General features: G+C 39.5%; 1 annotated feature.

Moving 5' to 3' along the window:
• Positions 10,353 to 10,647: a silencer, noted in NCBI's record as "tiled region #4850; HepG2 Repressive non-DNase unmatched - State 24:Quies". NCBI's record gives its function as "represses a minimal TATA promoter and a strong SV40 promoter by Sharpr-MPRA in HepG2 cells {active_cell/tissue: HepG2}" and the evidence as "EXISTENCE:reporter gene assay evidence [ECO:0000049][PMID:27701403]".

Here is a 14,345-nt window from a genome sequence, read left to right as displayed (position 1 = left end):
AGCTTTCCCCAAGGTTTTGATTCAGGTGCAGTGTGCTCTGCCTCTATTTAGAACCACAGTTCAAAATGCAGCAGATCGTCTCTCAGTTTTACAAACCTCCATTCATAGATGGGCTAGAATATTTCCAGAGGTCTTGTAGTGAAAGGATATGCCCTCTGAAAGAAACAGAGCAGTGCAATTGCCATCACACTGTGGTGAGGAAAGAAATGCAAGCAGTGTTAGGCCTTCCAGGAACAGGTGTGTTACTCATCTTTAAGTCAGTGAGATAAAGTGTGGCTGCTACATGCTTAGTAGGGGCTGCTATTTAACACGGCTTCTGAAGGAAACCTTTTTCCTCCCTCCTTGTCACTGGAATCATGCAGTGATGTCTACTGCAAAGGGCAGGCTGTCTTGAAATCTGGAAAGCAGCTCACAGGAAATTGCTGTAATTAGGTGCTGTTTGGTAGAGAACTGTGCAAATCATAGCATGTCATTTTCAGGTTTAGCATTGCAATGTCCTGGAAGATTGTGAGTGAAAAAAATATCCTAGTGTTGTAGACATCCCTTGCTTTGCTTTCAGCTTCTGTGAAAAAATGGTTGTATGACTTTGGTGAACTTGCCCTCCTTGTCTAAGAAGGAATCCTGCCCATCTCTGCATGAATAGAGAGGTAGAAGTCAGTGAGGAAAATCTTCAGCCTGTCTGAGCCATGATTTCTGCTGGGCTTATTTTTGACTTTCAATGTGTCAGATACTGTAGTTTCCCAATAAAGAGTTGCTGTTTGATATGCTGATTGACTTTCTGGCTTTTAAAATGGACTTGAAATACTGTAAACAATAGGCACTCCTCTCCTTAAAAGTCAATCTGAAAAGGCCTGCCTAATTTGGAGGTATCCTATGGCTTGGCAGCAAATAATGGAATAAGCATAGCTGGAGCAAGAACGGAACTGGGGAGTCCGAGGTTCATGGGGACTCCCGGATGGAAAGGCAGGCCTGTGACCCACTGGGGAGGACAAGAAGCAAGGTTGTTGAGAATGTCCTCCTCCCTCAAATTTGGAAACAAGTTTGAAATCCATTTCCAACCCACTCAAATCACAGAAATAGGCTGGAAAGGACCAAATGAAATGAGATAATCAAATCCATCCTACAGCCAACAAAGGACACCATCCAAAATGCAAGAACAAATAAAATAAAAACCTTCTGGCAGAGCTAAAAGAAAAAGAACTGCAATTCAAAAGGGAACTGAAATTACTTTTAATAGATCTTGGTAAAGCTGCTGAGAGACCTCAATCTCTCAACTCTACATATTATTTATTGATTGGGCTGGAGCCCTTGCTGAATCTTGAGTGCTTTATAGATTTATACAAATTTTGGATTGCAGAATGCAGCCCAGGAAAAAGAAATCTTTTCTTTGGAGTCATTTCTTCTGCAGCAAGATGGTTTTGTTGTTTTTCTCATGCCTCAATTTTCTCGTCTGAGAAATGGGGAGAAGCACACAGCCATTTCTTGTCTCTTTCTCAGAACCACCTTTACTAGGCAGCCATGGTTCAGTAATTAGGACTTTTGATCTCTCAGGTTTAATTATCAATTCCTTTAAGCAAATTTTACCTTAATACATTTTACTTGTGGTTTATAAGTCCATAAATCTGCTAAAAGAGAGATTCTAAGTATTCTTGAACTCTACTGAATTAGCCTATGACTGCATAGACAACCCAGGTGTTTCTGAATTAGACTAGTTGGCCTGTTAAATGTCCTTGGCCAATTAATTATGTAAAATCAGAACTTGGGTTCTAGTCTTGGCTCTATCACTAGCTTGTTATAGTGTCTGTAACCAGTCAATGTATTTATTTATTTATTTATTTATTTCATCTGTAAACTGAGAGGATTGGATGAGGCACCTCTTTCTGTTCCTTCAAGTTCTTACAGTCTATATTATTATAATTTTGAGATTTGTGACATTGCTTCTCTTGCAAGAAGCATAAAATTTTGGCTTTAGAGACACACACAAAAAAAGGTATATTTCTCTCACTCCATTAAGAATTCCTTCTTGCCAAATTACTGACATAGTAAATTGAGGTTACAGTATTCAGTGTCTCTCCTTGGCCGGCACAAGATGGTAGTCAATCCTAGCTCTGTGAAATAGAACATTCTCTTTTTCTTTTCTTTTCTTTTCTTTTCTTTTCTTTTCTTTTCTTTTCTTTTCTTTTCTTTTCTTTTCATTTTTTTTTTTTTAGACGGAGTCTTGGTCTGTTGCCCAGGCTGGAGTGCAGTGGCGCGATCTCGGCTCACTGCAAGCTCTGCCTCCTGGGTTCACACCATTCTCCTGCCATAGCCTCCTGAGTAGCTGGGACTACAGGTGCATGCTACCACATCCAGCTAATTTTTCATATTTTTACTAGAGACGGGGTTTCACCATATTGGCCAGGATGGTCTCGATCTCCTGACCTTGTGATCTGCCTGCCTCAGCCTCCCAAAGTGCTGAGATTACAGGCGTAAGCCACTGCGCCCAGCCAGAACATTCTCTTTAAAACAAAGATAACACCAGTAATCTAAATAATAAAATAAATTTTTAAAATATGAAAGTTTTTTGTTTACATCTATTGTTAAGTAAGCAAAATTTCTATTTAAGGCTAAAGCAAGAATATATTTTACAAAGTAGCCAATGTCTGTCTGTCTGTCTGTCTATCTATCTGTGTCTCTTCACACCATGCCTCCTGCCTCTAATTATGAATCTTCAATCTTGTGTTGAATATACACATTTCCAACTTAAAAAATTAATCATCCACTCTTGAATATTTTTTAATGCACATCTCAAGTATTTCCTATTAATGTAAGAGCTTCAATTTAACCCTGAACCAAAGACTGAGCTATATTTATTTTGTTTTTTCTTAATTTATTTAGTGATGATGGGGAGAAGGTATAATCTCTGGCATTTGTTTAAAAACAAGAAGACCTAAGATAAGATGTCACCGAATAATCATACTTCTTCATTTTGTATAGATGTTACAATTTTTTTTCCAAAAATCTAGTTAAATGAGCTGATGCCCAAAGAGACCTTGCTGAGAAGAAATGCAATGCTACATTTGCCATTGCTATTTTAACAACTCACTATGGCACAGAATTGGAGGAAATGGCAGTGAGGGAGACAAGCGAGGTCTAGGCAGCATGGAATGTGGAGAAGGCCACAGCACTACAGAGGGGCTCTGAGGGAACACACCTGCATGATGGATAAAGCAAGCAATATGAAGAAAAAAATGTTTATGATTTTTGGCAGTGAATCCTGCCAACTAAGCTCATGAAAATTTTTGGCAAATCAAGCCGCCACTCAGTCTATGTATTGAGGTCTTCCACATGCTCAGCATTCTGCAGGACAATCTTGCAGCTACAAAACTCTTATTTTCAACTCAAAAATACTTCTTCAATGTCCAATAAGCACTACGCTCTGTACTTGCACAGGAGACAAAAAGAGGAATAAAATCAGAAGTAGGAAGACCCTCCAGCAGTGTGATTTAGGCCGTACTGCTACTGAGGGACTCTACTACCAAGAAGATCTCTATACAGTTTCCAACGTCTCACCCAGTCCTATTTAAAGGGTGTGGCCAAACTGACATATCCTTTGCCATGTAGAAGCTCCTGTTCAAACAGAATTTTTTCTTTCTCCAAATGGGTTTATCATCTTCTATATTCTCCTATACTTTTGCTGTGCTGTTTGGCTTGTAATGCCTGTTCCTTATTTCTCCTCCTGAAACACTCCTACTTATCTACTTACTCTTTTTTTTTTTTTCTTGACACAGCATTTTGCTCTTGTTGCCCAAGCTGGAGTGCAACGGTGCGATCTCATCTCATTGCAACCTCTGCCTCCTGCGTTCAAGCAAGCAATTCTCCTGCCTCAGTCTCTCGAGTAGCTGGGATTACAGGTGTGTGCCACAATGCCCAGCTAATTTTTTGTATTTTTTTTAGTAGAAACAGGGTTTCACCATGTTAGCCAGGCTGGTCTCGAACTCCTGACCTCAGGTGATCTGCCCCCCTTGGCCTCCCAAAGTGCTGGGATTACAGGTGTGAGCCACCATGCCTGCCACTCCTACTTATTCTTTAAGAAACCTGCCCATCTTTTCCAGATGACATTTAGTCAGTTCTCTATCACTACTAAGTGATGGTTTATTTATTTATTTATTTATTTATTTTTGTGAATGTCTAATAACATCCTTCAGGAACATTTCATTCTCAGGTATTGTCTTATGGCTTTTAGCTAAGTATTATAGTAAATTTGGTTAATGACAATTATGCAAAGCATTATAAAACAGTGATTGCTGCTTTGGTGTCCTGTGCTCATTATCTTAATCTCTTTATCACCTTTAGCATTTTCGGTATAATTTAAAGATGTCAAAGAATGCTGATGTTTTATCAGTATTTCTTATATGATCAAACTCATGATTTTTTTTTTCTCTATTGAATAATTGTATATAACTAGATTTAAGCAGCCTCTGTTCAAAATCGGCTTGAATTTTTGGTCAAATTGATATGTGATGCTTTGACAATAGTCCTGCATTATGCATGGGTGAGACATACCAGCTCTTATTCCTTTGAAATTTCTTCTGTCTGTTCCAAGGGAGTTGGCATTTTCTTCTTCCTTCAGTTGCATTGCTTAGTATGTAATGGACAATCCTTTCTCATGCATTGCAGGAACAAAATGTAACACAACTTCGTCTACTTGGTTATGTATTCTTTTCTTAGGTCAAGCAAAGCCTTTGGTAGCTGCTTTGCAAGAAAATATGAAACTGTAGTACCCTTTCTAAGGTGGAAGTGTACATCACTAGTACCTTTTCTAAGGGGGAAGTGTACATCACTAATATAAACGTGTGCCCTGCTGATCTATTTCTATGTATTTCTGCACCCACAATAACTTAATTTTGATGCCAAATTATAGAGAAAACTTTTTGAAGGTATTTTAAATGGCAATTACCAACAATACTTGCATGTCAAGTGAAGCAAAAGTATGAACAGAGATAACTGAGTTTGTGCAATAGCAACTACATGACAATTACTTCCTGGCCACGGTGACAGTAAGATACAATTGATACTATTCTTTCAAAATTTCTATCTCAGAGATGTTAAAATGTGAAAAGGGCATCTTAGAATTGGTGAGATGTGGCAAAGATTTACGGAATACAAAGAGAGATTTTCTAACAGGAAAATTCGTAGCTTGAACATTGACATCACAGAACAATAAAGAAGAAAGTAATGTGGCCCACTTAAGAAGTTTAAAAACCATAAAAAGAAAAGAAAATCTAAGGAAAGCCAAGGAAAAATATATGGAGAAATTAATAAATTAGAAACCAAAATAGAATTAATTGTTTTTAATAATTTTATATTTTCTTTTATCCTGTTATCATTTTTTTCTTGGACTTTCTGGACGTAAAATAAGATCATCTGAAAAAAAAATTCTCTCCCTCTCTCTCTCGCTCTCTGTCACTCCAATATCTACGACTTTTATTTAGTTTTACCAACCAATTGCATTGGCTAGCATGCTGTGGACTTTTGGTTTAAGATGCATATATTTTAATCACGTTCATCTATCCTATTTTGCTAAGAATTTGTTTAAAAACCTGGATTTGGAATTAAATCAAATGTTATTTTATTTAATCATTATTGAAATGATTACATTGTTCTTCCCTTTGATCTAGTCATATAACACATATAATTAACTTCCTAATAATGCAACATCCTTATATTCAGGAGCTTAACTGCATTTGTGATTTCTTATCAATTTAGCAAACCACAGCTGAACACATTTCATTTATGAAGAAAAATATTCAACTTTAACAGAGTATGTCTGAACACATTCAACTTGCTTGTGCCTGGGATGGCTACGGTCTTGGGGCTCTGGGTTCTTGTATTTTTTCTACATCAATCTCAAAACTCCCACAATAGAGAGATTAGCTCTATTTTGTAGGAAAATGTATGGTAAAGCTACAGTAGTGAAAATAATAAGGTACTGGCAGAAAACTAGACAGAGCAATAGGACAGTCTAGAAATAGATCCAAATAAATATGGCAATTTCATATCATTTTTTAAAATAACTATTTAAGTAAATAAGGTAAAGATGGAGATAATTTTAAATTATCTTCCAAGAAGTAGCATTTTCTATTTCTCCGAAATTTCCATTTACTTCTGTGAACCTTGTCCCATGGTGTTGGCAGCATGGTTGACTATGGCAGATGGGATTTCCCAAGGCTATGGAACTATGAAGAGTGAGAGAGGGAAGGCAGTTTCCCTTGTTCTATGCATTCTTCATCTCTATTGTTATACATACCTCTTAGGAAACATCTCTTTTGGGGGACATCATGACAACATCAAAAGACAAGAATGTTTGATATGGTTTGGCTGTGTCCCCACTCAAATCACATCTTGAGTTGTAATTCCCACAATTCCCATGTGTCATGGGAGGGATCGAGTGGGAGGTAATTGAATCATGGGGCAGGGGTTTCTTATGCTGTTCTCATGGTAGTGAGTAAGTCTCACAAGATCTGATGGTTTTATAAAGAGGAATTCCCCTTCACCAGCTGTCTCTTTGCCTACCGCCATCCATGTAAGACATGACTTGTTTCTCCTTACCTTCTGCCATGTTTGTGAGGCCTCTATAGCCATGTGGAACTGTAAGTCCATTAAGCCTCTTTTGCTTCCCAGTCTTGGGTATGTCTTTATCAGCAGTGTGAAAATGGACTAATACAATGTTCCTTTTCTTTTTCATGGAAAGATGAAAGAATGTATAGATTTTACGGCCATATGTTTACCATGTCAAGCATTTACTTGTGTTCTTTCCCAGGAGATACATTATGTCTTTTCAACAAGAGATTTAAAAATATGTAATACCTGCAAAATCCCTTTGAAAGGTTTTTTTTTTTAATCTAAAAATTTGCTGTTTTGTAGTGTTTCTATTAAAGTAGTTTTTAAAAAACACTTTCCCTTCAGAGTTCCAAATAAAAAACAGAGTTTTGGCTAGATATCCTTATTACTAAATCTCTTCAAAATAAGTTGATTTAAAATAATGGTCAGGACACTCCTCCATTCTTTGTGGCAGGGACTTTGCTGCAGGTAGCAGTCACCACTCTCTGTTGTTAACCCCCAAAGATCAAGTGAACTACTCCAGTGAAGGGGATCTAAACTATTCAGATAAGCAGCTCCCTATCTTCAGGCAGAGGAGGGAAGCAGGGCCAGTAATGTCCAGATACTTCCTGGCTCTGGCTATGTGTGGCAATAAGACTCTTTGGGAAGATATTTATTTATTGGTACCAGAGATTCTGAACTCATTGAAATGAAGACAATGTAAGGTCTGTCCAATAGAGGGAGGCATGGTTAATTTTGAAAGAGTCTAGAATGTCTCAGAGGGGAGTGACAGAGCCAGCCTGGAAAAAGCCTGGTGAAGCTGCAGTCCCAGCACCAAGCTGGATGGAGGCTGCAGCAAAACATTCTTGGCAGAGCCTCAAGAAATAACTATGGGTGCTGTCTGCTCCAGAGAGCTGTGGGCAGGATGCTGGGAGTGGTGTGGGCCACATGTTGCTTAGTCTGCTGGCCTCTAGCCGGCCTACATGAATGAAAAACACACCCAAGCCTAGGGGGCGATGGGATGGCTAAGACTTCACTTGGCATGGTGCCTCTCCTTGGGATCAAGCACCTGCTTTCTGAGAGATGGTCCATACAGGCAGCTCCAGAGTATTTGTTTCTGGGAAAGATAAGGCTTATTGTTTTTAGAGTGAAATTTTGTTGTGAACAGATTCCCTGGAGAAATAGTAGGAAGTGGGAAGTAAATCGTTTTGGTTCTAGGCAACAGAAGGGACATTTTTAAAAGAAGCTGTATTGTCCAATTCTCCTGAGCAGGGTAGTTCTCAATTGAAAATCCTGGTCCTGGGTTCAGTTGCAGAGTCCCCAGACTTGGCATCATCGCCTTCTCCATTATCAAAATGACTCTGGCCCAAAACTTACTGTGCTTTCCTTCAAGTCCCAGAAATTCAGGCCATTGTAAGGGAGAGGGTGTCTGGGGTCGGCTGGTGGCCAGTACAGTGGATCAGAAGAAAAGGAGTCATGTGGACTCATCAATGCCACTCAGGCCTGGTCACTGCCACGTGTCTAAGCAGACACAGAAACCTCAGGGTTAGACTGGTGTCTCAAAGCTGCTATCAGTTCCTTGGGTAAACATCTATTTTGAACAATTATAAGCAAATGACTTCATCTGTAACACACAAAGCCACTGTGGTCTGAGATTGTGTATCTCTCTTTCTCTCCCTCTCTCCTTCCCTCTCTTCCTCCTTCTAATTTCTCTCTCTCTCTCTCACTTTCTTTCTCTCTATCTCACATGTGCACACACACCCACACTTTCTGCGTGCCCAAATAACACGTTTTTCTGTCTAAACTTGAATAGTTGAGAATTTTCATCTGCGTATAAAGCTTAAGTACTTACACGGACTGTCATGGAATTTTGGATATTTAATTAAAGACATTTGGGATTATAAAAAACAAAAGTCATCCAACTTCCTGTAGGATACTTTCTGTTTTATATAAGCTAGAATTGTTGAGATTAAATAGTAATATGGTTTGGCTCTGTGTCTCCACCCAAATGGGTTATGGGGCTGGTTTCACCCATGCTGCTCTTGTGATAGTGAGTGAATTCTCACGAGATCTGATGGTTTTAAAAGTGGCAGGTTTTTCCTGCACTCTGACTTTTCTCTCCTGCTGCCATGAGAAGAAGATCCTTGCTTCCCCTTCTGCCATGATTGTAAGTTTCCTGAGGCCTCCCCAGCCATGCAGAACTGTGAGTCAAATAAACCTCCTACGTTTATAAGTTACCCAGTCTCAGGTAGTGTCTTTATAGTAGTGTGAGAATGGACTGATACAGATAGAATGCTAAGAAATGAGAAGAAAGCCTGTCTGAGCTTTCGAAGGGAGTACACCAACCCTGAGGCCCCAGCCCCTTGGGGGCTTTGCACTGCATGTTGATGATGATGATGATGATGATGATGATGATGTTGATGGAGCCATCCTCTTCATCCTGCATCTCTGCATGGTTTGTTCTCCTGCTTCCTTCAGTTCGCTTCTTGAATGTCATCTCCTCCCCCAGCTTCAATTGTAGTTCATAAGAATTGTTACCCACTGAAATTACCAAATGTGTTTGTTTACCAATTGATGATCCATGTCCCCTTCAATGTTGTGAGTTCTAGGAGGGCAGGGACCTTGCCTCTCCCATTCATTGTTCTGTCCCCAATGCCTGGCACATACTGAGTGTTCAAGACATACGTATTGGAAGAGCGAGATGGAGACTGTGAAACAAATTGCTTCACCCATTTCTGGCTTCACTGACACGTTTTAAGATCTCCATATTCTTGTCCATCTGAAAGCTATATGCAGGCCCATGCATGGTGTCTACACTGCGCTTGATGGAGTAGCTGTCTGTAGCAATCCAGCATTCAGGAAAGGTACAGGCATAACTGGAAGTTATTACTCCAGTGACAACCTACTGTGCAGTGTAAGCCTTCCCCAACACCTTTCTCCTTTAGGCTGTTTTGTCTTCTTTCTCTTCCTCTAATCGCCCCTATCCCACTCTCATTTCTTGCATAGATTGCCTAATAGACCACTAACTAGTCTCCTGCGTTCTTTATTGTCCTAGGTATATCACCCTCACAGTGACCAGAGTAATGTTTTAAGAAAGCTCATAGAATCTTATACTAGGCTTGTTCTTTCCACAGCACTTGCCCCATCTTGCCCGTCCCTGACTCTTATCACACTGGCTTTCTGACATTATCAGCATAATCCAGCTCCACTCTGCCTTGGAGCCCTTTTAGTTTTGTTCCCTATGACTATGATGTTCTTCCTAGGGCTTATGAGATGACCAATATCCTCTTTCTCATTTCTGAATTCAAAAGTTACCTTCCCTGAGTGGCCTTTTTTGACCACCTAATCTTAAGTAGCTCAGCTTTCCCTGTTATTTTCTAGTATAGCTCTCTGCTTATGTGCTTATGTTTTTTTTCTTAGCTGCCAAAAATTGTAGCTCTTTTGTTTATCTGTCTCCCCATCACAGGTGGTCAGTTTCATGAGGGTTGGGGCCATGGTTTGTCACAATGACTATTGTATCTTCAATGCCCAGCACAGTACCTGGCACATAACACATACTTAGTAAACAATATTTTCTAAATGAATAAATGAAAAATACTGTTGAATAAATGAATCTCTTAGACGGTGATGAAAGTTAGGGTCTCAGTTAAAAAGATGATCATTCAAGGAAATCTTGTTAAATAAATTTCTCCTTGAACAAATTTGAGCCAGGCTCCTCTGAGTCCTCTTTCTGACTAGGCCCCAATCTTGGGCTTAGTCTAGTTTTAGCAAGAATTCTGCTTAGTCAGTTTAGCAAAAATCCCCCATCTGTGTTATCTGGTCATCCTCAGTATCTGATCAAATTCCCCATCCCTCACCCTTGATACCACGTTGGCTTGCCTTGAAAAAGAAGTCTGTTGAGTTTGTTTAGCAAGACTTCCTCCAGCCTTGATGTTTCCTCTTAGGAATGTTCCACTGACCTTCACCCTTCTCCTTGGCTATAAATCCAGCCTTGTCCTTGTTCTATTCAAAGTTGAGCCCAACCTCTCGCTCCTACTGCACAATCCCCATTGCAGTAGTCCCTCCTGAATAAAGTCTTCCCTATCATCTTTAACAAATGTCATGAAAAATGTTTGAATAGTTGTTCTCTTCCAACCTTTTCTTTATTTCTACTTACATCTTCTCACTCTCCTATGCATATATCAGCAGCTGGCAAACTTATGCCAAGGTGATTAAAAATGTATAGATGTGATACTTGGACCATCTCCTGGTCTGGCCATCTCTCACATATTGAGAATTCTGCTCACAGGCTTTGTGTTTCTAATGGAAACAGGTTAAGTTTCAGGGGCACGTTGCTTTATGTCATAACAACATAAACCGTCCCTTTCCTTAAAAGCTATGTCCCTAGAAAACTTACTATTAATATTATCATGTCCTAATGATAAATAATATTAATTATTTAATAATGATTATAATAATCATTAGTAATTATTATTAATAATCATTTAATATAATCATTTAGTAATTAATATTGCTAAAACAATTTAAATATACTGAAGGGGTGTAATCTTAGGGGACCCAATAAGTGATTTATCTTTCCTGCCCTGCTTATGAATGAATGGTGGCAGGGGGTGGTGAGGAGATAAGACGGAGGCCAAAATATCACCTTATTTGCTGAGAGAGGCTGAATAGGAGGACGTGGTTTTAGGGCTGTTGGCCAAGCAGGCTTTATCATACGGGACCCAGAATTAGGGAAAGTGCTCACTAGTCAGAGACAATTCTCCAGGCTGGTTGGGGGAGGGATCACTGGAGGTGTAGGTGGGTCTAATCCCAAGAGCAGTGTTGACTCAGGTACACCAGTTCATTTTTGCCACCTTACCAATCAGTTACCCATTCTAATTCCCCAGGGCTGAATGAGTAAAGGAAAGAAAAGATGCAAAGTGCACATTTAAAAAGAGGTTTTTTCCTTCGGAGTCCACTGTTTTTAAGAAAACTTGAAGTTGATATTTTGGTCTCCTAATTGGTTAGATGTATGAACAGGTTGACTCAAGAACTTGGTAGATGATATTCAAATGCTGTCAGGCTCATTTTCTTCAGTTACAAAATGAAGGGATTTTCACAGGTAATGTGCCTTTAATTGGAAAGATACTGTGAATATTTCCCCCCGACTGGAAAATGGCGTTTATTGTTAAAATCCTAACTTGAGAACAACAAGTTCAAACAAATAAGAATGGAAAGGCCGGGCGCGGAGGCTCACGCCTGGACTCCCAGCACTTTGGGAGGCTGAGGCGGGTGGATCACTTGAGGTTAGGAGTTTGAGACCAGCCTGGCTGACATGGTGAAACCCCGTCTCTACTAAAAATACAAAAAATAGCCGGGCTAGTGGCACAAGCTTGTAATCCCAGCTACTGGGGAGGCTGAGGCAGGAGAATCACTTGAACCTGGGAAGCAGAGGCTGCAGTGAGCCAAGATTGCAGCATTCTATCCAGCCTGGGCAACAGAGTGAGACTCCGTCTCAAGAAAAAAAAAAAAAGACATATTTTTCACAAATGAACTATTATTTTCCTTACAAGTGTGTTTTTCCAACCCTTTTTTCATTTGTTTGTTTGTTTGTTTGTTTGTAGTGGGGGTGAAGGTGGGGTTGTTTTGGGGGAAGATGTCAGAGGCAGAGATGATGTCTGCTCACTTTGGAAATTGCATAAAGCAAGGTCGTTACCAGGGAAGAACAATAAATATCACAGCAAATGGTCTGTTATTCAGGTTCTGAAACACAAAAGAGGATGAATAAACTAAGTACACATTTAGCTCCCAACTCAGTTGTACCAGTAGCCTTCTTGTTTATTAATTATTAAATCTTATTCCAAAGTTAAAACAAATTTGTGGGGGTTTTTGTTTGGTGGTTTTAAAGACCACATTAATTCATTTTCTTGTCAAATACTCAATTTTGGTGGAAGTATGAACAAGGAGTCAGTTAAAAGCCAAGCAATAAAAAGGAACACAAGAGGAAGGTAAGTGCCACTGGCTAATGGCTAGAAGACAGTGGTAGGGATGGGGAGGAGTGAATGTACAAGTTTACACTGTGACATTGTTGTAACTTGACATAATTATTTGTAGGGTTAGAGAATTTTTGAAAGTAAGGTTTAAATATACATATAACATAGAACGCACTCTGCTTCCTTATGATAATAGATCCAAAAATGACAGTAGCATTTTTTATCTTCCCATATCTACCAAAATCCTGTTAGGGGCTTTATATGTTTCATCTCCTCTAGTCCTCACAATTGTTTGCATAGGATAGAATTAGTGCCCTCATTTTACAGAGGAGATAATGAGATTTAGAGAGCTTAAGTCGATTGTCCAAGGTCACACAACTGATAAATAGCAGGCCCACAGTACTTGAACCTAGGTCTGTCTGGTTCACATGATGCTGCACCATACAGATAGCTGGTGGTAGACAATGTATCTTACTTTGTTTTACCCTCTACGGACCCGGTCTCTGCTCCATGACAGCGGAGACCACATCTATCTCTGTTAACCATATATTTCCTGTGCTCAGCACAAAACCTAACAGATAGTAGAAACTTGACAAATATTTGTTGAACAAATCTTGGGAATTTTTTTCTCACTGGGAACTATCCCATTTATATATGCACAAGTAATAGTTCTTAGGGTGGGTCTTAAATTTAGAAACCTGAAGATACAAAAAAAGATTCATTGAGAATTATTTTAGCTATGCCTTGAAATGAAAATTATATAATTAAGTAATCTCACATATCTACAGATATTAAAAGCTAGACTATAATTTTTAACACACACATAAACACACAGAGAGAAGAAATGAAAGTACAAGAAAAATTGCTAGATATTCTTTATTGAAAACTATGAGAGTTAATCTCTATTCTGATCAATGTTCAAGTTCTTTTTTTGCTCAGAGTCTGTTGCTATCCCTCTGCTGGAGTGACAGTATAAAGTACTGTTAAGAGCACAGTGTCTGAGGCCTGATTGCCTGGGTTTAAAACTTTACATCTTAGCTCATCACTTTACCAATTATGTTAATTCAGCTCCTTTAAGAAGCAGACATACAGACTGAGGGGAGGAAGCAGGAGTGTGAAGGGAGAAATTCAGATTGTGATGCAGATCTGACACATGTAAAAGAAAGGAAAGCAAAGGAGGATAGGATAGGAGGGTTCCAAGTTGCAGTGGAGTCCTAAGAAAGCTTCAGCTACAAAAGACCACAGGCCAAAGTTGCCTGCTAGGGGATTCCCTCCTGGAGGACTTCATTGCCCAGGTTCAGCCCTGGGGAAGTGTGGCCTTGGTACAAATGCAATGGTAGATCTAGAAGGGCAGCAGCAGCGGCTGCTCACCAACTATGGCCCCCATAGCAAGACATGTGAGTGTGCATTTTCCAGGCCACTACTTCAACTGTAACCTCAGCCAAAGAACTTACTTATTACCTCATCTAATTGTCTTTGCACCAAAACTCTTCTAAAGAGCAGTCCATACTCTCTGCCTCCTATTTCTGTTCTTTTATTTATTCTTGAACCACTCACATATTCATACTAATAAACTAACTGTTATTTCTACTAATAAACTGCTCTTCATTGAGATCACCAATGACCTTCACAGTGACCTATCCAATGGCTTGGCCTCAGTTCTCATCCTAGTGGATCTGTTAGAGTCCTTCATAGGGCTTGCCACTCTGTCCATCTTGAAACACTTTCTGCACTTGGCTTCTGGATTTCTCTTGGGCTTCTGACCTCAGTGCTCATTCCTTAGACTCCCTT

The sequence above is a fragment of the Homo sapiens genome, chromosome 1, assembly GCF_000001405.40.
Source record: "Homo sapiens chromosome 1, GRCh38.p14 Primary Assembly".
NCBI lineage: Eukaryota > Metazoa > Chordata > Mammalia > Primates > Hominidae > Homo > Homo sapiens.
Note: the sequence above shows the minus strand (reverse complement) of the source record. Positions and strands in the feature narration are given on the sequence as shown.